Raw genomic sequence first — 23,240 nt, forward strand, 5'->3', positions numbered from 1 at the left:
CCCACATCTGCTTCTCTTTCATGTAACCTGGGGACACAGCAGTGCCCACCTCCCAGGCTGACCAGGGTGGTGATGTCTGACCGACCACACTCCTGCCAGCCCCACCAGCCGTACTTCCTGCCTTCCCGCCGCTCCTGGCCAAACAGGCTGGGAAATAGCTGGCGGCCTCCCAGGGAAGGACTGGCCCAAACCCTCCCGATGCCCCCACTCCCCCAGTGTCTTCTCTCAGGAAGGGGTCCGTGGGCCACACTTCAGGAAGGCGGTCCCAACGCAGACCAGAAGTTTCCGCAGCTTCCCGGGGCTTCAGCGTTCTAAGAGCCCACAGAGGGCAGGACAGGGCTGCCTCCTGGGTCAAGGGCTGGGTGTTAGTGCCTCTCTGGTCCCAGGGAGGAGCCAGCAGGGGCATCCAGGGAGGCCAGGACTGGCTTGAACACAGTGGAGGTGGCAACGTCGCTGCCTGGAGCCAAGGGAGCCTTGACGGTGCAGTGACCACGGTTCTGGGGACCATGGGGCCAGGAAATCCCACAGCGTTGAGGGTGTGGCCGTCAGCCCTGAGGGCATCCCCTGGAAGCCACTGCTCCATGTCAGCGAGGCTGGACCCCCGTCCTGCAGGGTCACAATCCCTCCAGCCAGAAGCCACTGCTCCATGTCAGCGAGGCCGGAGCCCCGTCCTGCAGGGTCACAATCCCTCCAGCCAGGAAGCCACTGCTCGATGTCAGCGAGGCTGGACCCCCGTCCTGCAGGGTCACAGTTCCTGCAGCCTGGAAGCCACTGCTCGATGTCAGCGAGGCTGGACCCCCGTCCTGCAGGGTCACAGTTCCTGCAGCCTGGAAGCCACTGCTCGATGTCAGCGAGGCTGGACCCCCGTCCTGCAGGGTCACAATCCCTCCAGCCAGAAGCCGCTCCCAGGTCGAGCACAACCTTATTGTCAATCACTGTGACACAATTATGTGTCAATCACAGGCCACGTTCTTGATCAATCTCCTCTGTGGCCACCCAGGACCCTGCAGACCTCACAAGCCAAGGAGATGAGTGGAGCCCGGACATACTTGTAAAAGCAGGTGACACCGTCATGTGTGATGTCAGGCTCATGCTGGGCACCGTGAGGAGAGCATCCTGCAGGCCCAGGACAGCGCAGGGAGACCAGGCAGGTAGCTGCCACCTCCATGCAGGTGAGGGACGGGGGTGTGGAGGTGGGGAGGAGTGTGGAGAAGCAGGCAATGTGTGCAGTATGCTGATGGCCCTGGATGGTGCCTCCAGACACCAATCACATTGCACGGGATGTGAATTCCATCTCAATGCAGCTGCTGAAACAAAACCCCCGGGTGCGTGGAGCCCTCTGCCTGCGTCTGCAGCTGCGCGTTCATCAGCTCAATAAATCCTCCCAGAGATGAGTCTGAAACCCTATGAGGTGTCTACTTAGCATCAGACACTACTCTGAGTGATTTAGCTCTATCCACTCTCACTCCTCCCCTCTCTACCAAGCCCATTTGACAGATGAGATATGGGCTTGGTGAGGCTGCGTCGCAGGCAGCATCCAGGACAGGACAGAACTAAGCCTGGCCCGGCTGCCAGCTGGGCCAGGGGTTGTGGGTGAACCCGGAAGGCAGAGCCAAAGGAACAACTCACAGGCCAGGCAGGGCCCAGGGCAAGGGGCACTCATGGGTGCCACCAACGGAGGCCTGAACTTTGGGGACGGCAGAGATAATGGGGAGCAGGGAAAGGAGAGTGAGGGCCAAGGGCCAGGCCCGAATGCTCCGCTCCTATGTCTGAGGTGTCCAAGGGCCCAGATGTGAATGGGGGCCTCCACAGCAGCCCAAACCCGACACGCACCCACCGCCAGCCTCCCCCTCTCACCTCCCTCACCAAAGGACAGAATCCCGCACCTCCCAGACTCGGATGTCCATTCCCAAGGCCCATGGGAGGGACACACTGGTGACCCTCAGGCAGACAGGCATCCAGCCCACAGCCTTGGGGGTTCCTCCAGGCAGCCCACCTGCCCACTCCCGCTCATGCTGCGCACGGAGATGAACCTGGAGCCGGCTGACGTGGTCCGGCTGTGTCCCCACCCAAATCTTGAATTGCAGTCCCCGTAATCCCGAGTCCTGGGAGGGATCCAGTGGGAGGTAATGGAATCATGGGGGCGGTGACCCTCATGCTGTTCTCGTGATAGTGAGTTCTCACGAGATCTGATGGTTTTTTAAGGGGTTCTCTCCCGCTTCGCTCTGCATTTTTCCTTGCTGCTGCCACCATGTGAAGAAGGATGTGTTTCCTTCCCCTTCCGCCACAATTTGTCAGTTTCCTGAGGCCTCCCCAGCCAATGCTGAACTGTGAGTCAATTAAGCTTCTTTCCTTTATAAAATTACCCAGTCTTGGGCAGTTCTTTATAGCAGCATGAAAAGGGATTGATACACCTGCCCACCCCACCCCTCCCCTCAGGGAACCAGGCACGACCCCAGCGTGGACGCCTGGAGAGAGAATGTAGCTCCCAGAGGGGCAGCTGAGCATGTGCGTCTCGGAGCTGGGGGCCTCCTGCACCTCCTGGGTGAAGAGATTCAGAGACAGCTGAGGGCAGGCAGGGGGAGGGCACCCCACTCCCGTCTGCATGCTGGTTCCCACTGCCAGCCCCGAAACCCGTTGGTGGAGACCCTTCAGATGGGCATCAGAGTTCACTCCTGGGGCCTCCCTAGACCCCACCTCCCACCCCACCCTCATGTGACCCAGCACCTCCCCCAAACCGCCTCAAGGGTCCAAGGTGTGCCATCCTCTCCTCAGGCCTCCTCTTCCAAGGAGCCCCCGGACATTAAGGAGGACCAAGGCTTCTCACACACTGTGGGCCGAGGAGACACACACACAAGCCATGACCTGGGCACCGGGAACCACTGCAGGGACAGCTGATGAGGGTCAAAAGGCCAGAAAAGTCCAGGAGTCAGGAAGATTCTGGAAGTTTCTGGAAAGAAAGGGGAGGGAGGGCCTCGTGCTGGGCTGTGGAAGGTGACTAGGTGCGGCCCTGACCAGGGACCCCCGGCTCCCAGTTGGGGTGCAGCATGGACTCTTCCCCCCATGCTGGCCATGGAACAACACTGAGGGGAAGCCAGGCAGCACAGTGGCCCACCCTGCCGCGCCACCCCATGGCCACCTTCATGCTTGGACAGCCACGCCCCACTCAGCTCGTGACAGCCAGGGGCAGCTGGGTGCCGACCGGAGGGGTGGTAGGGTCTCCTTGGTCAGCCGGAGCAGGGCTGATACATACACCCAGTGCAAATATAGGCATGCACACCAATAGTCACAACCATGTACGCACACCAACACACACGGGAGCACAAACACATACACACCAACACAGTGCACATACATGCACACACACCAGCACAGTGCACACACACACTGCGAACAGCACACACATATGCACATGCACACACCAGTGCACACACGTACACACGAGAGCACAAATACATGCATACACACCAACACAGTGCACACAATGCACACGGGCCGACAGTGCACAAACATGCATGCACACACCAACACAGTGCACACACGCATGCACACCACAGTGGAGACATCACACACATGCACACCACAGTACACACACATGCAGACACCAATACCGTACACATATGTGCACACTGCACACAGACATGCACATACCAACACCTGGCACAAGCACCCATGCACACACACAACTGCAGTTTGCACAGTGCAAAAGCATGCGTACCAACACAAATGGGAACAGAAACGCACATACAACACAGCACACAAACGCACACATGGCAACAGTACACACACACAACCACAGTGCAAACGTGGACACACACCAACACATGGGACACACACACACGCACACCAACATATGGATGCGCACTCGAGTACTAGCACGAAGCTGTGCATACCCACGAACGCGTGTGCACACACATGCACACACGGTACTACAGTCTGGACGTCTCCTCCAAATCTCATGTCGAAATGTGATCCCCAGTGTTGGAGGTGGGACCTGGTGAGAGATGACTGGATCATGGGGGCAGGTCCCTCACGAATAGCTTAGTGCCAGCCCCTTGGTGATGAGTGAGTCCTCGCTGTCAGTTCACGTGAGATCTGGTTGTTGAAGAGTTTGGGACCTCCCTCCTCTCTCTTGCTTCCACTCTACGTAATGTGCTTGCTCCCGCTTTGCCTTCTGCCATGATTGGAAGTTTCCTGAGGCCTCCCAGGAGCAGAAGTCACTACGCTTCCTGTACACCCTGCAGAACCGTGAGCCGACTAAATCTCTTTTCTTCCTCCATCACCCAGTCTTAAGTATCGCTTTACGGCCGTGCAGTAGTGAACACAATGGTCTTCTAGGAGACACTCTTGAAATCTGGCTGCCTGTGTCGACCCCTAATGAACAGAACACGGAAGAGCAGCCTCGTGCTCCCGGCTGGGCCCCGACCACCACTCTGTCCACCAGAGGTCTGAAGGCTCCTCCGCCTCTGTCGCAGGGTCTCAGCAACACGGGCCATCAGTGCCCGGTGGCATTGGCAACCCAGGGATGCTGTTCTGCAGCCAACAGCCTCAGGCATCCAGCTGGACCTGAACCTCCTTCCAAGGGACCACGATGGGTGCTCAGAGCCAGTCCTGATGGCCTTGGGCCCCTCACCAAAGCCCCCTGGGGTCTGCCCGCCACCCACAGCCTGGTGTCTGCACGGCGCTTGCTCCCTGGAGCCTCCTAACCTCCTGCCCACGGCAGGCCCTCCTAAGCCTTTGCCTGAATGACTCAGAGGAATGAATGGAACATTCTGGCTGGCTGCGGGGGCGGCTGCATGCAGGCACAGGGCTGCAGCCTGGTGGGGCTCTGAGCCCACGCTCAGACCTGTTTCCTCTACCTGGGCGACAGAGACTGCGCTGGCCCCTGGAACACTGCCCTGGTGGGCGTGCTATCCAGATGGGGATAGCAGGGTGAGACCCTGAGCATCCGGGGTCGGAGACCAGCACCACCTGTGCTGTGGCTGAAGAACAGGCGGGCACCTAAGCACCATCCAAAGAGCTCGGCCCTTCCTCTAAGTAACCTGCCCACCCCGACCCCGAAGTAACCCAGCTCCCCTCCAGATCTCAGGGTGTAGGGCTGGGAATAGGACCAGACACTGAGGCCAGGTGACCTCTGCCCAGGGTCCCCTATTCCCCATGCACAGTGAGTGCAGAGATGACCAGCAGTGGAGGTGGAAGCCAGCCCTTCCCTTGGAGCCCCCTGGGCTGGGAGAGGACAGCAGGCTTTTCCTAAAGGACTCTCCTCCCTGCAGCTCTGAGTGGCAACGAGCAGGAAAAGCAGCTCACAGAGCAGCCTCCAGGCACCAAGACCGTGAGGCCACATCGCCTCCAGGGAGCAGGTCCCACAGCACCCCTACCCCAGGGCACCAGGACTGGGTTATTCCGGGATTTCGCAGTGCTGAGAACTTTGGAGAACAAAATCCCCGGCAGCTGCCTGAACGCTGAACGGAGGTGGCGCGATCCGCCTGATGAATCAGGCTAATTACACAGAAGCCACACAGGTTTTGCTTCCTCCAGGAAAACTGCTTTCCCTCTTTAATATTCACTATCCTCTTCTCACAGCCTGTAAGCCTCGCTCAAATTAGGGTGCAGCTGCAACCCAAACCCAAAATAAAATGCCCAAGCACGCGACAGGGACACACACGGCTCCAGATCCACCGGCCCCGCCCGCCTCCTCTCCACAGCCTGGCTGCTAGCAGGCAAAGAAGTCAGGGAAGATGCTCTCCACCTCGTCCTTCAGGGCCAGGCCTGCACAGTCCACATCCAGGCCCCACGGCTCCAGAGGGCTGTCCTGGAGCTCCTGGGAGCCAAGCTCAGGGTCCCCTAGGAAGCCTGGCTCTCCAACATCCAGTGGACTGCTCTCAGCTGGGGCCCATGCAGGGCCACTGCCTCCTCGACCCTCCAGAGACCCTGGAAGCAAACAGGACACATCGGCAGGGCAGGCAGGTGCTCTGGGAGCTTGAGGCAGACAGGTGGGGTCGGAGGAACAGAGCTCCCACCTCAGTCCGTCTGCCCTGCCCTGTCCCCGCTGCACAGAGGCTGTGATGAGGTGGGTGAGCTCATACCTGGTGGCCCCAGACCCAGGACACCTGTTGGACCAGAACCAGGAACGGGCTCCCAAACACTAAATCCTAAATGGAATGGACACACGCCATGTCACAGGGCCATACACCTTTGCCGGCCAGCACGGGCTGGACCAGGGGCCTCGCTGACACAGGGTCAAGGGGAAGAATACAGGGCTCCAAGCACCGCCAGCTCTCATGCAGGCTCGTCCACATCACGTTCACTCACACACTCACATATCACCTATAACGCTCAATACCAGACACGGCCCAACAGCTAAGCACCAACGGTGGAGAAAACGGGGGCTCAGACACAGACCCTGGGGCCCCCTGACACACGCTAGGCCTGAGTCCCAATTCCCCAGCTCATATCAGGTGCTTACGCGGGGGGACCAGCCCTGAACCCAGGGCCCCACTCACCCGGCCACGAGCTGGGACCAGCAGTCAGCAGGAAGGACGTCCCATCGTCCACATCAGACCCCAACGCAGACCTGGAAGCGACAAGCTCTTCCTCAGTGGCCACAAGCGGACCCAGACCTTGGAGCTCAAGGAAACATTTGGGCCCAAGTCCTGCAAAGGCAGCTTCGAATGCAAAGATCTAGGCACCACTCCTGACAGGCTCCACCCTGCCCAGCGGGGAGAAATGCAGAGGCCACAGCCGCTGAGGACACGGGCCAGCGGCTCTCGCGGGTCCCGATCCGTCCTGCAGAGCATCTCTGCCGGTTTCTCTCCAGCCACAGTCTCGCTCTTCTCGTCCCCTCCCTCCCCCTCCCCTCCCCCTCCCACACCCCAGCTGGTATGTGCTCACGAAACACAAACTCATTTTACTATCAGCCAAAACAAATGACAATTAGGAAGACAAAAGTGTTTCCAGAAACACACATTAGAAAGCCACACGGCAAGGCTGGCTGGTCCTGTCCTGGGCTGTGGCCTTGGCCTCCCTCCCACGGGCACAGAAGCAGAGACGGAAGCTTCCAGATGCCGAGAAAGTGGGCCCAAGCAGGACTGGGAGGAGGTGGGACAGGCTCACACACACATGCTCGCTCACGCACACACAGGCGTGCACACCACCTGGGCACTCACCCGGCCTCCTGCGCCAGCATGGGGTCCTCCTTGGCTGGCTCCCCCAGAGGTGCAGCCCCCATGGCCAGGGGCCCAGCCTGGCCCAGCCAGCCAAGGGCCTCCCCGCTCATCACGGGCAAGGTCTGCTGCTGCGAGAACGGAGGCCAGGACAGGGGTGGCCTCACAGCCTTAGGAAGACTCCGGCCTGGGGGCCACGGCACCAGGCTGGAAGGTTCTGGGAGAGAAGTCAGATGCGGGTCAGCCTTCCCTGCCCAGCCCCACAGGCTGCCCCCGAGGACCTCGTGACTCACGGGCTCGGTCCACTCACACTGACCGAGCACCTGCTCTGCTGCCTGCACCCTGCAGCAGGGACACGTGGGAGGAAGCTCAGAAGCGGGTGGCACACAGGTAAACAAGGAAAAGATGAACACCCAGAGGTGGGGTGCCCAACACCTGGGGGCCAAGGGCTTCCTAGAGGGGGTGCTGGCTTGGCCAGCCGCAAGGGGCTTGGATCTGGGGACCCTCTCAGCACCGCCTCCCGGACCTCGAGCTCTGCCCTCAGACCTGCTCGCTCCCCACGTGCCTGGCTGACTCCTGGGTTTCCGGAGTGCCCTGATGACCCCAGCTCTGACACCAGCCCTGCCAACTGCATGACTGCTCCCAGCCACAGCTGGGAGCCAAAAGGCACAGCCCTGCCTCTCATGGCACCTGGCGACTTCCAGACGCTACCACAGCAGGGGCCGAGGGGAGTTCGGTCATCAGAGGCGCCCTGCAGGGCCACCCACAGAGGGACCAGAGCTCAGCTGTGGGTGGCATTAGGGACAAAGGCCCCGGGTGGCAGAGGGAACAGCTGGGAGGCCTCGGGCCCCTGGCTCACCCCAATTACAGTTCCTGCCATGGCCAGGCAGCATAGGCGGAAGGGCAGATGGGGCGCCCCGGGGAAAACAGATCTCCGGCCACATCCAAAACACACCAGCCACAGGCGGGTGAGAGAAGCAGGGCCACAAAGCTGGACGGAGCAACCAGGATGGGGCCGAGTCCCTCTACCTCCCCACTTCCCACAGACCCAGGACAGAACCAAGTCCCTCTACGTCCCCATGCTTCCCAGCAGACCCAGGGAGTGACCAGGATGGGGCAAGTCCCTCTACGTCCCCATACTTCCTGCAGACCCAGGGAGTGACCAGGATGGGGCCAAGTCCCTCTACGTCCCCATGCTTCCCAGCAGACCCAGGGACCCAGGGAGGAGAAGATCAGGCCCTCCCTTCCCTGGAGCACATGGAAGTCCCAGGAGGAGACAGGATAGAAGGAACAGCTCCCATGGTGGCCTTTGCCCAGGACTCTCCCTTCCTCGAGCCACACTTCCTCCCTCCCGAGAGCACACGTCCTCCTTTTCACAAAAGCAGGCACAGCCCGGGGGCCTTGAATCAAGCTCATCCCTCAACACGTGGGTTTCTCACCAACACAAGGGCCTGGGAAAACTTCGAACCCCGTTTGCAAACAGCCCCCATTGTTCTTAGGGCTAAAGCACAGCCTGGCGCCGCTCCCCAGGCCAAAGGCACCCCACATGCACACCCAGGACTCACCTGAGAAAGGGGGCAGCCCACCCCGCACCTGGCACAGCCCCAACAGTGCCTCACACTTGTCCGTGCCCAGGGACGTGCAGCTCGCGGGGTCCCACTGCCTGGAGGACGCAAGGATGTGCGGCACGGGCTCTGGGCTGGCCGACGCTGGATCCAGGGACCAAGGACTTTCCAGAAACGCCTTCACATCTGGGGTTCTAGAAGGAGCAACATGACAAGGATCCTGGGTCTATTCCCCAGCCCCCTGGAAGGCTGCCCCCACCCACCCCAAGAGCAGAGGGCTGGACCCATCCCCAGGACACCCCAGGCACCACCCAGCATCAAGCCAGCCTCTGCCCAGGGGCCCTGGGCCAGCCAAGCTCCACAGCTGTCTACCCAGTTTCCCTCTGCCCAACTCCTCCGGTTCTAGATTCTTCCACAGCTAATTAGCCACCAGTCCCATGCCCCAGCCTGCTTTGGGGTAAAATGGGTACATTTAAACACAAGATGCAGACAGTCCTTCAACCTGGGGAGCTGCCATTCTGAAAAGAACCAAATTATCTTGACTTCAGAAAACTGCATTCCTGAAGCTGCCCATGGGGAGGAGTATGACACCTCACTGACCACCTGTAAATTCCCCACACACAGGAGCAGAAGAGATCCTCCCGGGCACCTCCCACCTCCACACCAGCCCAGGCCCTCAATTCTGCTGACCGCGCTCCCCCCTTGCTGGAGCTCGCCCATGTTGGTCACCTCACACCTGGCCACCTGAGTTGGCAGGGCCCTGGGCAGGTCACCACCTGCGGAGGCCAAGCCGGGCCTCCAGGCCACACCCTCCCGAGGACATGCCAGGGGGCTTTGGGTCTGCTGCTCCCAGGGTCACCCAGCCCTGGAGAGCGGGCCCCAGGAGACACTAACCGAGTCCCGCTGGACGCTCCCGTCCCAGGGTCTGGCACACCTGCTTGAATCTGACTCGACAACGTCAACTGTAAAACATCCTCCTGCAACGAGTGCCACATTTCCTTGGAGGAAGCAAGAATCTGAAATTTAAGTAAACATGTAAAACAAAGACAGAGACAGTCAGCTGAGAAACCCAAGACACGGTGACAAGACTGCTACCCCAGGGCCTGGAGGGTCACTGTGAGCTCGGTCCCCGCTTGGAACTTGGGGGCGAGAGTACAGGTTGACAACGAGGCTGAGGTTCCACCCCCGAAAGGCCCCACCATTCCTGAATCAGGCTGTGCATACCCAAGGGCCTCACTGCAAATGCTGGGACCCCTGACCTCACAGATGACAACACAGTTTCATTCCCCACACAGGTCCTCAGCCCCAGCACTCACGGGGTCAGCCAGAGCCCCCAGAGCCTTGGAGAGGGGAGAGGAGCCTCTCTCTTGGAGACGTGCAGAGAAATGATCTAGGGGGTGCTCAGCCAGGGAGGATCAGGAGACCCCAACTCTCCCCCAAATTGGCACGGAGCATCTCGGCAACCCATCAATGAACAGGACTCAGGGGCACAGGAGGGCTGGAAAGGAAGGCTTGCTCCTTTCCAGGAACAGAATAACAACAGGTAAGGCTTGAACAAATCAGGAAGTGCCCTGCCGAAAACGTGGCCTGCTCTAGCCGTGGAGACCCAGAGGGCTGAAGGAGACGGGGATGACAGGGGACACACTGCCTGCAAGGTGGTGAGATGTCCCATCACCGTGATGCCGGAGGACTGACGGCGTCTACCCTTACAACTCACAGCGTGCTGCTCCTGACTGGGCCCCAGGGCGCTGGCAAGCCGCAGGAACTGCACAGACATCTCCAGGACCGAGGCCATGTCCTCCCGCCGGCCATCGAACTGGGGCAGCAGGGCCCGCAGACGCTCACAGCTCAACGACATCCGCTTCCTGGTTCCGGTCAAGAAACAAATACCTCTGGGCCCTCCTGCCCTCCCCGAGAAGGGACAGCAACTGCTAGAACCTGCCAGATAGACCCTGGGCGCTTGTCAGGCAGAGGGGGCTACAAGATGACTCAGAGCTGCCCCCGTGGTCTGAAGCCCCGAGATCCACATCAGAGCACAGCCTGGGCCTGACCCCTGGACCTCGGCGACAGGCTGTCCAGCCCAGGCCCAAACCATGGCTGCTTTGCGGTGTGGAAAAGACAGCGAGGGTCAGAGGCAGTCAGAAGCACAGAGGGTCACAGGTGCACAGCCTCAAGAGGCCAAGGCTTCAGGATAAAGAGGGGCTGCAGGATGTTCCCCAACAGGGCTTTTCTGGTTTACTTGGAGATGTGCAGTCTGTCCTTCTCCTGGGCACAGGCCACGAGCCCCTCCCAGCTGCCTGACACCTGGTGGCAGCCCCGAACATAATCTCACCCGCTCCACCCCTTTACAGCGCCCTCACCCCTGGGAGGCACCACCACTCACCTGCGCTCCCTCTCGCTGATCACGTTCCGCCGAAGGCAGGAGCTGGGACCCTCGGCCACCGTAGGGGCCTTGGGCGGGCCCGAGCCCCGGGCCGAGTCCTCGCAGCAGGAGAGGGCACCAGACAGGGAGCCGCTGCCGAGAAAGCCAAGAGCACCGGGCCCTGAGAACCCCAGAAAAGGCCACCAGGAGTCCCAGATGCCAGAATGGGCGTCTTTGGGGTGCGGGTGGAAGCCAAGACTGGGTCACGTAGGGACACGGCCCGGCCCTCTCTGCACCCCTTCCCCTCTCCCAGGGTCCAGGGCTCCGCCCCAGGAGGCCCAGGATGGGTGGAGCCCAGCAACTTGCGGAAGAACCCCTGGGTACAGGCCTTGGGCCCCCAACCCCTTGGCCGCCAGCCCAATTCCTCACTTGCATCCCCTGACGGTAGGGATTCTGGAGACCTCCGGGTAGGGCTCGGAGCACCGGGACGCCATGAACTCGCAGCTGCGGAGCGACCCCACGCGCACGGCCCCTTCCGCAGGCAGCCCCGCCCCCTCACGTGTGCTCTGCCCACCTGCCACGTGCTTTCCACCTAGCCCACCCCACCCCCACTTGCAATCCGCCCCCATAGCGCATGCGCTCTAGCCCTCCCCACGCAGCCAGCCCGGGGCCCACGTGACCCGCGTTCCTGCAAAGAAGGTGCTGGAAAGGGACTCGGGGGGTCCACCCACTCTATGCCCCCGCAGGACGCCAGGGGAAGGGGCCCCAGCCCAGGTGGCCCTGCCTCTACCCTTACCTTCCCGGGGGTCGCCTCGGTTCCCACTTATGCGGTGGTCTCGGTGCCCTTGGGCACTTTGGAGATGCGGGCTCTGCCCTTAGGAGCCCAGCCCCTGGTGGGAGTGGGCGGGCTGGGCTGAGTTGTTTAGCCCAGGCCTGGGGGACCCAGGGACACAGGGAGGGGGAAGGGTACCCGCCTGCTCCCCAGTCGCCCACGCCTCCATTTTCCCCCAAATCTAGTACGCTTGCAGACGCTGCGCCTCAGGGTAGGGTCACCATCCACACTTCTGGGTCGCCCAGAACCAGGGGCATCTTGTCCCCACCCCAGGCCACCATCGTCCGTGCTCTTCCTCCCGCTGAGCTCTGCCGGGCACCCTCGGAACCGTCTGTCCCTTCACCTGGCCCTGCCCAAGCACCATCCCCGCTTTATGCCCTGGGGCCCCAGCTCGACCCCTCACCTCACACTCTCAACAGGTTTCTGCGGGATCGCGGGGGTCCTGCCCATCCAAATTCAGAAAGCTCCGGCGCCAGGTGTTTGCTCACCTCCCCGCTGAACTCCAGGAGCCGCCCTGCGCTGGGCTTGAGTCCCCCAGTACATACTTTTGGGGGGATGACGGAGGGAAGGGGGAGGTGGAGACCCTTCCTCTTTCACGGAGGTTGCGGGGGGCCCTCAGGGAAGCAGAGGGGACGAGGGTGGGGGGTGAGGCTGGACTGTTGGGAGGACATCCCTGGCCTGGCTCGTGCTGAGGTCGTAGCGGGAGGAGGTGGGGTGGGTGGCAGGGGCTCTCCTCCCGAGAGGGGAGGCAAGAAGGAGCCCGGGCAGGTGCCACCACACGGGGACGTCTGTCCGGGGTGCCCCAGTCTCCTGTGGAGAAGGCGCGGCTCTGGGCCTCGGGCTGGCATCCTGGACTTTGGGCCAAAGATGGGTGAAGGGTGTTTGGAGCAGAGGGAGGTTATGTAATATAAGGTGGTGTCTCCATCCCTGCTCCGCCCAGCCTTGGCTGCAGGTCAGACATGGAGGAGGACGGGGTTGGAGAGGAGGGCAAAAGCTCTCGGGGACCTGGGCCCCTCTCCCGGCCCTGCCCCTGGCCAGGGAGGGATGGACGGGCTGGCGATCTGGGGCTCCTCAGTGGCAGAGTGGGGCCAAGTTTTTGTTTCCCTAAAGCCCTCGGAATGTCATCAAACCTGTGACTCTCCTGCCGTTGACAACACGTGTAATTACTGCTAATTAATCACAGATGCAGATGGTGCGGCCTCTCAGTTTTTTCTGAGTTCCCCAGGCAGGAGGGCGTTGGCAGAAAGGCCACCATCTTGCCCCGGCGGCACCCGCCCAGGGGTGGTGGGACCCCGGCAGCAGCACCGGCCAATCTAGGGACCTGAGGAAAAACCCCCAAGATGCCCACGAGCTGTGTGGCGGGGGCACAGGCTGAACCTCTGCTGGGGACTTAGCATCCTAGACTTCCCCGAGTGTTCCCCACCCACCCCTCAAAAGCATCTGTGTTCAGCCTGCTGCCTCCTGGAGAAACAGGGAAGGACCCTCTGGAGAGACACTGGGGAGGCCAGGGACCACAAAGTACATGGCATGCGCCCTCCAAATGGACCTGGCCCTCCCCCTGGCCCTCGTGGGCACAGTCCTGGCTTAGTGAGGGGCCTGGTCCACCCTGCAAACCAACAAAGCTCTGGGGACAGAAATCGCAGTTCTCCAGAGCTCTGTGTGAGGCTGAGCCAGGGTGACGCATGTGTAACAGTGTGAGCACGTGCACGGGAAAGGGGGCCCGCAGGGGGACCCTCTGCTTCCTAGTCTTTGGCCTGCAGCATCTTAAGTTGGGGCCCCTCCCCACCCGTCTAAAGGTGCTGTGTGTGCCCGTCTGGGTGAGAGCACAGGGCGGGGTGCAGTCATCCCCCTCCCCCAGGCCAAGCCCAGGATGTGGCGCCCACCCACAGATGCCGCAGCCTGCGGGGGGTGTGGGGGCGGGGGGGCGGGGAGTCGTCTTGAATCTGGCTTGTGTTCAATGACCAGTGTTGACCACGGCAGAGCAGCACAAGCGGGAGGTGCTGACGGTCCCTGGGCGCAGCGGCTGGACGCTGGCGGTCCGAGCAGCGCATGTGCCCTGCTGCCCGCCAAGGACCCAGAGCCCCCTGAGCCCCCGCCCACCACGGAGCCCTCCCAGGGGTGTAGGGCCCGGTGGCGGCGCGCTTGGGCTTTTCTAGCCATTGACGAACCCCGTCCTGTTTTTCGGAGTTTTGAGGGCTCAGAGGGCCGCGGCGGGAGCGGATCGCCCTCCCTACCCCGCACCCCCGTCCCAGCCTGGGCCAGAGCCGCCGCGGGTCCCGGCGCGGCCGGCAGGGGGCGCGCGCGGACAGACGCCTGCACCCGACCCTGGAACTGGCGTCTTTTCCTCGCTAATCTGCGAGGAAAAAAAAAATGTTTTTCAGGGCAACGCGAGGGAAGAAGGTGGCGGCTCCCACTCGCTTCTCCCTCGGGTCGGGTCCGAGCTGCCAGGCCGCATGCCACTCCCTGACGGGGCGCGGACCCCGGGGGGCGTCTGCCGGGAGGCGCGCGGCGGGGGCTACACCAACCGGACCTTCGAGTTTGACGACGGCCAATGCGCCCCCAGGTACAGTCTGCTGCGCCCTCCCCACGCGGGGAGGCCCCGGTCTAACCTAAGACCCCCAAGTTCCCCCTCAGGCTCCCGCACCCTCCAGGACCCGCCATTCCCAGGGCCATCCAACTTCCCCAGGACCCGCGAGTGCCCTCCCAACCACCTTGGGGAACAGGGGCGCCCCTCAGGGTGGGCCGCACTAATCAGCAGGTGCCGAGGCAGCAGCGTCCGTCCCCATCTGTCCTCGACCTGGTAAGAAGCTGGGGGGAGCGGCCGTGGCTACATGGGGGTCCTGAGCATCTCCCAGGTGTGGGGAGTGGCAGGGAGGCTGGGGGCGGTGCAGGGCCTTCCATCTCCCCCAGCCCCTGCCCCACCCCAGCTTGGGGAGGAAGGTTCCATCCTTCTTGTGTGGCATGGCAGTGCTCGGCCAGGGTGGGGTGCCCGGCGAGGTTACCCCACACAGTAGGGGGTTTCCAGAGCAACCTTCCAAGGAAGAGTCCCCAGTGGGAAGTGGGCTAAGTGGCTGTCAGATGAGGGCGGGAGTCCTGGGTTCTGGTCACTCCTCGTTCCCCGCTGGCCTATCCCTGGGAGGAGAGGGCCAGTTGAGAATGGCATTCAGGTGACCTGGAGCTAGCTGTTCCCTGTGCAGTGTCCTGGGATGCCATGCGTCTGCCGTCCACCCAGTGACCAGTGCAGAGGCACGGACCGGCAGCTGAGTGGGACAGTCCTGAGCGGAGGTTGCCCCAGGGTCCAGGTTCCCCATCCTCTCCCCCATCCCTCAGCTCTTGAAAACAGGCAAGTCTGCCCCTCACCCTGTCCCCAGAGCCAGACTCCAGGGAACCCTGGGCAGAGCCGGTCACTGCCTTGGGCGAACCCCTCCCCACCAGGACAGAGCCCTTTCTTCTGGATCCTGCCCAGTCTCAGGCTGTCCTGAGGCCAGAGAAGGGGGTGGAAGAGCATACCTGAGAGCGGGAGGCCTGGTGCGGCTGCCTGTTTGTTCTATGGGACTCAGTTTCCCCGAGTGTAAAATGAGGAGGTAGGGCGGATGGTCTTTAAGGGCTGCCTCTGGTGAGGGACCAGGCTGGAGAGGAGGTTCCCAGAATCAAGAGGCAGGCACAGCACCCACCTGGCACCCGGGGGAGTCCGGGGTACAGCGTGTGTGAGGAGCAGGTGCTCTGAGGGTGGACAGTGACTTGGTGATGTCCTTGGGAAGTGGGCACAGCCTGGACGTGCTCTGAGGGACTATCCGGGGGATGCCTGTCAGGCACAGAGAAAATGACCCCAAGGGGGTCCTGGATTGCCCTCATCTTTGTGGGCTGGCCGGCCCCTACCATCTCCCTCCCCAGCCTAGCGTTGCCCTCCCTGGCCATTCTGCTGGAGTTTATCACCTACCCTGCTGGGCCTGACCTGCTCCAGACGAGCCGGCAGGACAGTGTCCTCAGGGTCCAGCCTTTAGCTCCAGGCCTCATCCTCCGGGTCCTTCCAGACACCTGTCTCTCCCAATTGGCCCTGCCCACCGGCCCGGGACAGCTCCTCCTCCCCGCTGGACTGAGCTGGCCTCCGTTGCAACAGAGATTCCCTGTCACACTGCAGGCAGAGCAGCCGCCGGCAGTGGAGGGATGTCAGGCGTCAGGCTTGGGGAGGGAGCAGGACCTGGGCTTGGCTGGGCTCGGGAGCGGGGAGCTGAGCTCCAGGTGAGGCCAAGGCTTGCGGCCCAGGCAGGTGGCTTCAGCTGCAGAAAGAAGAACCTTCGTGCTGCCTGGTGGTGGGGGGAGCTCTGTGGGGCGGGTTTCCCCACCAGCTCTCACATGGGGAGGAGGGTGCCAGGCAACAGCGTGGTCAGAACCCAGGCCCTGGAGTCCATAGGTCTTGGTGCCAGGCCTTGAGCAGGCCTCTGTCTTTCCTGGGTGCTGGAGGATGCCAGCCTTGGTGCTATGGTTCAGAGGGGCCAGGAGGTGCTTGGACACCCCACCCCACTCCAGTGCCCCAGCTCAAACCCCCAGCTCCACGCTAGTGGTGTCCCTGAGTCAGCCTCAAGGCCATCAGGCCGGAAAGTGGGGCTCCAGAGAGGAGCTCCTGGCCTTCCAGTTTGCAGGGGTCTTCACGGGCCTCTGGCCTCCAGGCTCCCTGCTCCCACCTCCATGCCATGGAGTCCCAGGCCCTCAGCTGCCTCCCCACAGGCCCTGGAGATGACAGCTGTTGTAGGACAGGGAGGGACCAGTGGCCCTGGTGGCCCCAGAGCTGGCAAGTGCCCACCCCCTGCCCAGCGCACTTCGCATCAGAGCCCCTGCCAGGCCTTTCCTGGAAATACCACTTCCCAGCAGCTGTGCTCCAGGGCGGGCCTGGGACCCTCTAGGCCCTGATGGGATCAGGCCCTGGCATCCTGCCAGGGTACATGCCTGGCCCAAGGTCCTGGCCAGCCCTCCAGGCCCATATTAGGGAGCAGTGCCTTCAGCAGCAGGAAGTAGCTCAGGGCTCATGGGAAAGGTTTGAGGGCCCAAGATACCGCCCAGCACTGGCCGGCAGGAGGGACGGCTCAGGCCACAGGGAACTCAGGGGTCTGCTGTGGCCCAGGAGTGGCCACAGTAACAGCTCAGGAGGACAGAGGTGAGTGAGAAGGGAGCAGACAGGGTCCCCACGAGGGCCTCTGCTTCTGTTCCAGTGGCTGGCCTGGGTGTGGCCTGTGTCCTCGCACCCGGCAGCCTCCAAGTGTGCTGGTCTGGTTCACCCACCGTATGGGGAGCTCTTGATTAACACAGAAAATTACTTGGGACGAGCCTGGTGTGGCAGTAGTGGGGCCTTGCTGTGGGGCCATCTCATGCCCTCGGAGGGTGTTGGGGGGCATCTCGGGCTCTCCCCTGAGGCTTTTTGTCCTGCTTCCCCGGGATGCAAACTTGCAGGCTTTGACCCAGGTGCCATCGGCCCTGGAAAGGGTGGCACTTCTGTGTCTCCCACAAACAATCCCAGGTTTCTCTGCAACAGGAAAGTTTGTCCAAGTGTGTCCCAGCCCTGCATGGGTGAGGGATGCTGAACGGGTATCGTGTACCCAAAAACAAGTGCTGTGTGTGCATGTGAACCTGGGCGCTCCGTGAGCCAGGCAGGCGCACCGTGGGCACGTGTGTGAGAGCTGGAGGAGGATGTGTGGGGCCCGCCAGCCAGCTTGTGTGACCTTGAAGTCACCGGTCATGAGTCTGGGGAAAGGCAGGCTGGGCTCAGCGTGCCCGTGCTAGGTGGCTGGGTGCCAAGGCCCGGTTAAATGGGCATCTTTCAAAGGTGTCTTGGGACCTCTCCCAGCTGTGTGTGTGGATAAGGCCACCCATGTTCACCCAGACCCACTTTCACCTGTGGAACTTGGAAGTGAGCCAGCGGGGCTGGAACTGAGGCCAGGATGCGATTGGCCCAGGGAGGTGAGACCAGTACTAGCAGCTGGCAAGTGTAACAGGTTTGCAGGGGACAGTGGCAGGGCAGAGGCCGCGAGCTTCCTGGGGTAGGTCCCTGGGAAGGCCCTCCTTGAGAGGGGGCCTCCAGCTGCTCCCTAGATCGGGGGCGGGAGGTGGGGGAGGTGGGAGAGGAGGGTGGCCTCACTGGAGCAGAGGTGGGGGCATCAGGAGATGGAGGGCATTGCAGGACCAGGGTCTGGACTGGCACAAGGCGGGCGCCCCGGGAGGAGCAGAGGGCCTGGAGGAGCTTCTGGGAACTGTGTCTGTGAGGTTGGTCCATCCCAGCACTGAGATGCAGTAGCTGTGTCAGCTCTGGCGAGTCACTTCACCTCTCTGGGCCTCAGTTTCCTCATCTGTAGAATGGGAGTGCTAGCATGGACCTTACGAGGTTGTGTTGAGCCCATGCTGACAGCACATACTTGGTGTTTACAAAGCTGTGTTGGCGTCGGGAGCTTGCACACCAGCCAGTTCGTCTTTGCCTTGTCACGCACCAGCCTGTGTTGACACGTCAGAGCTAAGCATTTGTCCGGTGACTTCCCAAGATGGATTCTTAAAAGTGGAATTGCCCAGTCAAAAGATTCCCACAGTGTTAATGTTTGCCGCATGGCCCACGGCCCCCAGGGGTGAGAATGGCTCCTCCTCACAACAGTGCCGGGGTGTGGTGTGTGCCAGCTGCCACCGTCTCCTCCTTGGCACCGTCGCCCTGGGGCACCTGTGTCCTGCCAGGCACCACTCAGGCCTCGGAGGCTGAGACACAGCTGGCCCCTTGGTGCCCAGGAAAGGCACACAGGCCTCCTCCTTTGTAGCCACTCTGGGGCACTCCACAAGAGGGGCAAAGAGGGCTTCCATCTGCCTGTGACTCCCTCCAGGGGCCAGAAGTGGGTCCTCATGCTTCACAGGCACCAATAGTGCTTTTGCCTGGGGCAGACCCCAGCTGTGACAGACAGCCAGGGCTCAGACCACCACACCCAGCAGCTTTCCAGTAGATTTTCCTGACCCCAGCCACATTGAGGGAGGGGGCTGGGGCAGGTATTGGGAGCGCCAGTGAGTTGGTCATTTTCTGAGCATGATGGCAGCTCAGGGTACGGGCCCCTAGATGGAGCAGGGGCCCTGTGCCTCAGCCTCCCTAAAGTGGCCCAGCCCTCCCAGAGTTCATTGGTGCTGAGGAAATGAAGCCTCACTTGTGCCTCAGTTCCCAGACAGGCCCAAGGCCAGGCACGGTGGGTCATGCCTGTGATCTCGGTGCTTTTGGAGGCTAAGGCGGGAGGATTGTTTGAGGCCAGGAGTTGGAGACCAACTTAAGCAACATAGCAAGACCCCTGTCTCTACAAAAAAAAAAAAAATTAAAAATTAAGATCAGATAAGGCCCGGTGCACCCCTGCAGGCCATGCCAGCCCTCAGGTGCTCAGCATGGCCAGCCCAGGGACCTGGCACAGTTCTCTGGGGGAATGAGCAGGGGCATGGTGGTGCCTCCCATAGCTGTGGGAGAGGGGCGGCTTCTCCTCCAGGTGCAGCCCCCACCACGGCCTCCCCACCCTCAGGCTGTCCACCCTAGGAGGGCTGTCCCCAAGGGTCCCCTGCCGGCTCCAGGCTGTGCTCCTTGCTATGATCACCATTGCCCCCAGCAGCCAGCTCAGCTCGAGGGTACTGACAGCTGACGTGTGCAGTCACTAAGCATCTCCCAGCAGCCACAGCGTGGCCGGGGGCAGGGGCTGTGGGCCGATGCAGCTGGAGAACAGGGTGTGGCCTGTGAGAAGGACCAGCCAAGGGTCCTGGGCACCCAGGGCCCAGGACCCTGAGATGGACTTGCCATCTGACCCTGAGTGACCAGCACACTGCTGCCTGCTGCAGGGGGTGGGGACAGCAGAAGGGCTCGCCTGGCGTCTGGCCCAAGCCCAGGCTTCTGCCTCCCCCGACAACCTTGGGCACGGGTCCAGGGGTGATGGCCCCCACAGCCTCGCCTGGGGCCCCTGTGTCCACTGTGCTGCTGGCCTTCCCCTCTTCCCGCCGGGCTGGGAGAAAGCTGCTCTGAAGTCTGTCTGGATAAATCTACAGCTTGATTTCGGCTCCTCCATGTGTTCTGAGCTTTCACTTTGGATCCTAAAGCATCTCAGGAGATGGTGCTGAGCAGCCACCCTCGCATGGGCAAGAAGCCCCTCCCCTAAAGAGAGACGTCACCGAGGACGCTTGCCTGCCCAGCTGCCTGGGCATCTCGAGCAGCTCTGACTTTTTAATCATCGTGCAAAGGAAGCGTTGAGTTTTCTGCCATGGTCAGCAGAGAGGTTCTGCAGCTTTGCACTTGCTGGACACTAAGCCCAGCACTCAGACACCCCCACCACAGTGATGCTATGCCTGCCTGGGGGACTCTCCTGGATGCAGGGTAGGGATGCCCACACACATACAGGCACATGCACACAGATCCATGTGCATGCACACATATGTCCACATGTGCACATGTATACATATGCCCATGTACATGTATGCATACATGCACATTGTACATACATGCATGCAATCCCATCCACACATGCATGCACATATTCGTACACATGCCTCTGCATGCAAATACATGCTCATTTACACACACATCAGCATGCATGTGCGTATTTACGTGCTTACATGTGCTCATCTCCCTCCTCCCTAACTTCTCTGTCAAACATGGCTCGCCCAGCTCCTGGAAATTTTGAACTGAGTGTGAACAAGAATGTATTTTAGGAGAGAAACCTCATTCCCTTAGCCAAAGACAGTCACAATCTTTTTTTGTTGTTGTTGTTTCAGACAGAATCTAGCTCTGTCACCCAGGCTGGAGTGCAGTGGCGCAGTCATGGCTCACCGCAGCCTCAACCTCATGGGCTTAAATGATCCTCCCACTTCAGCCTCCTGAGTAGCTGGAACTACAGGCACCATGCCTGGATAACTTTTGTTATTTTTTGTAGAGGAAGGTTTTTGCCATGTTGCCCAGGCTGGTCAGGAACTCCTGGGCTCAAGTGATCTGCCTACCTCGGGCTCCCAGAATGCTGGAATTACAGGCGTGAGGCACCATGCTGGACCACAAGCAATGTTAAGAGAAGTCTTTGCGGGAAAGGACATTTTATCCAGGACTTCCTATGCTGATCCTGAGAGGCAGGCTCCTTGCTTCTTTCTGAGCCCCACCCGGGGCAGAAATAAGGGCCTGGTGATGCTGGAGTTTAGGGAAGGACATCTTTAGCCCTTAGCTGTTCCGTTTGCCATAACACACATCGTGCATGATGTATTCACTTTGCAAAGCACAATGGGTGAGACGCTGCCCTAGAACCCCACCCTGCCCCCAGCACTGTGGCTGCCAGTGTGTGGGGACAGTCTCTATATCACCTACAAGCTGGGTGCCCAGAGAAACCCACCTCTTCTTTAGGGTTCTGTGGAAAGCGGTCGTGTTTAGTTTTTAAATGGGGTTCATTATATGCCATTCTGTTTGTGTAGTGATGCATCCACACGGGCTCACGCAGGCTCACAGAGACCTGTGCCTTCACAGAGCAGTCTTGGCTGTAGCTGTCAGTCGCTCCTCAGTTCAGGGACGTGCAGGCTGTTTTCAGTGTTCACCTTCACACATGAGGCCGTGATGAAAATCCATGCCTGGGCCTCCTCGGCCACAGATCAAAAATGTCCCCAGGTAGAGGTTCCAAGTTGGAGAGGACCCACGATTCCATCATAATTAATCCACTGCTCCCAGTCGGCTGGACACTACATGAGAGCCCTGGCTTGCAGAACCCCCCGTTCTGTAACCACAGCCGATCACTGGCGCAGGAGACCGTCCAACTCTGCATCTCTCTAATTATTAGCTAGGTGGCTTGTCTTTACTTGTGCGTTGTTTTCCATTCCTCTTCTTTGAACCTCACTCATCCATCCTTTGAGTCGTTTTCTTTTTTGAGATGGAGTCTCGCTCTGTCACCCAGGCTGGAGTGCAGTGGTGCGATCTCAGCTCACTGCAACCTCCGCCTCCTGGGTTCCAACAATTCTCCTGCCTCAGCCTCCCGAGTAGCTGGGATTATAGGTGTGTGCCACCACAACCAGCTAATTTTTGTATTTTTAGTAGAGATGGGGTTTCACCATGTTAGCCAGGCTGGTCTCAAACTCCTGACCTCAGGTGATCCACCCACCTTGGCCTCCCAAAGTGCTGGGATGACAGGCTTGAGCCACTGCACCCGGCCATGTTTTCTGCCAGATTGTTTTCCTTTCCACGGGACCTGTAGGCACCAGGCTGTGTTCTGATGATTATTCTGTTGCAAATATGTTCTTCCTGTTGGTCGCTTATTCTTTCCTTTTGCCAGTGATGTCTTTTGTTAAACAGCAGTGTTTTGTTCAGATGTAGAAGCTTTTATAAATCTATTCCTCTTGGAATAGATGATTTTTGGGTTTCGTGTATTAAATAAAAGGCCTTCTCAGCTCTGAACACTTTTCCCTGTATTTTCTTTCCATCTTGTCCTTGGTTTGGGGCTGCAGATGGGGTCTAATCTTATTTTATCCAACAGAAGACACTGCATAGCATAGGCTGGAGCCAGGTACTGGGTTCAAGCACCGGCCCTCCCAAGGCAAGGGGACAAGTGATAAACAAGGACAAATAAGGAACAAGGTCAAGTGCATTTCTGAAGTTCTCCGGCCTCCATTTCTCCATCAACACAATGGGAAGGATGTCGCCCCTCCTGATATTTGCAACCGTGACTTGAGTCAGGACAGGTGGAGCTGCACTCGTTCCAATACCATAGGACGAGGAGTGCCCCCCGCCTCCTTTCTCAAGCCTGGATTCCAACGTGGGCTTCAGCTGGTCAAGGCACTCTGCTGTGTCTCCCCACTCTCTGTCTTTTCTTGGGCCAGACCGCAGAGTGTCAGCTGCTGTGGCTGGACATTGGTGCTGGCAGCAGAAGACGAGGGCCCTCTCTGTTCCTTTTCACAACTGCTGTGGCTGTTCTTGCACGTATAGTCTTCAGGATTAATTTTTGAAACAGTTCATCAAATTCTGAGAAAATAGTGATGCGCTCTTGATTGGCGGCGATTCCCTTTACCCGTGTGTTTGGAGAAGGGACTGTTAGACCCTCAGGAAGAAGACCTCCGTCTTCCGCCAGCGACAGCTTCCAGTCCATCTCTCAGGAACGCTGTGCGCCCCTGTGGGTTTGGGGCTCCCGCGCCTGCTGTGAGCAGGGCTTTCTCCCGGTGGCTCTCTGCTCCTGCTCTCCATGGTGCTCCTGGGTTGGCCGCCATACTAGGTTCCGTATTTGCTCTAGTAGGTTTTCAGTTGATTCCTCTTGGGTTTTCCAGTAAGCAATCATGCCAACTCCAAACAGAGCCCCCTTCAT

General features: G+C 60.3%; 2 protein-coding genes across 9 annotated transcripts in view, besides 2 other annotated features; one reads left to right on the forward strand and one right to left on the reverse strand.

Annotated features, from left to right (window-relative positions):
• SOHLH1 (spermatogenesis and oogenesis specific basic helix-loop-helix 1) lies at positions 5,524-14,229 on the reverse strand. 5 transcript variants are annotated; one of them, XM_011518698.4, is made up of 11 exons: positions 12,326-14,229; positions 11,887-11,980; positions 11,520-11,594; positions 11,112-11,243; positions 10,446-10,593; positions 9,623-9,744; positions 8,729-8,922; positions 7,167-7,380; positions 6,504-6,574; positions 6,087-6,152; positions 5,524-5,931 (listed from the first exon to the last, which is right to left on the reverse strand). In XM_011518698.4, the coding sequence occupies exons 3-11, from the start codon at positions 11,582-11,584 to the stop codon at positions 5,714-5,716; spliced, it is 1,230 nt and encodes a 409-aa protein (XP_011517000.1). In that variant the 5' UTR covers positions 11,585-11,594; positions 11,887-11,980; positions 12,326-14,229; the 3' UTR covers positions 5,524-5,713. The 5 variants fall into 5 exon arrangements, with proteins under 5 accessions (XP_011517000.1, XP_006717172.1, XP_005263460.1 ...); XM_006717109.5 differs by lacking the exon at positions 11,520-11,594; XM_005263403.4 differs by lacking the exons at positions 11,887-11,980; positions 12,326-14,229 and having other exon boundaries at positions 11,520-11,598.
• Positions 6,694-7,208: an enhancer, noted in NCBI's record as "H3K27ac-H3K4me1 hESC enhancer chr9:138586423-138586937 (GRCh37/hg19 assembly coordinates)". NCBI's record gives its function as "activates a minimal SCP1, AML or CMV promoter by ChIP-STARR-seq in naive H9 embryonic stem cells {active_cell/tissue: H9 hESC(naive)}" and the evidence as "EXISTENCE:reporter gene assay evidence [ECO:0000049][PMID:30033119]".
• Positions 14,101-14,230: a silencer, noted in NCBI's record as "silent region_20488". NCBI's record gives its function as "represses an Ori minimal core promoter by ATAC-STARR-seq in GM12878 lymphoblastoid cells {active_cell/tissue: GM12878}" and the evidence as "EXISTENCE:reporter gene assay evidence [ECO:0000049][PMID:35858748]".
• The window catches only part of KCNT1 (potassium sodium-activated channel subfamily T member 1), a 93,318-nt gene continuing 84,379 nt past the window's right edge, over positions 14,302-23,240 (forward strand). For 2 of the 4 annotated variants that reach the window (NM_020822.3, NM_001272003.2), the window contains exon 1: positions 14,302-14,485. In NM_020822.3, the coding sequence (NP_065873.2) occupies positions 14,376-14,485 (110 nt within the window). In that variant the 5' untranslated portion in view covers positions 14,302-14,375. Of the gene's footprint in view, positions 14,486-16,832; positions 17,078-23,240 lie in introns of those variants that run through there. The other 2 variants (XM_011518878.4, XM_011518879.4) reach the window with 1 other exon arrangement.

Source organism: Homo sapiens, chromosome 9 (genome assembly GCF_000001405.40).
Source record: "Homo sapiens chromosome 9, GRCh38.p14 Primary Assembly".
Taxonomy (NCBI): Eukaryota; Metazoa; Chordata; class Mammalia; order Primates; family Hominidae; genus Homo; species Homo sapiens.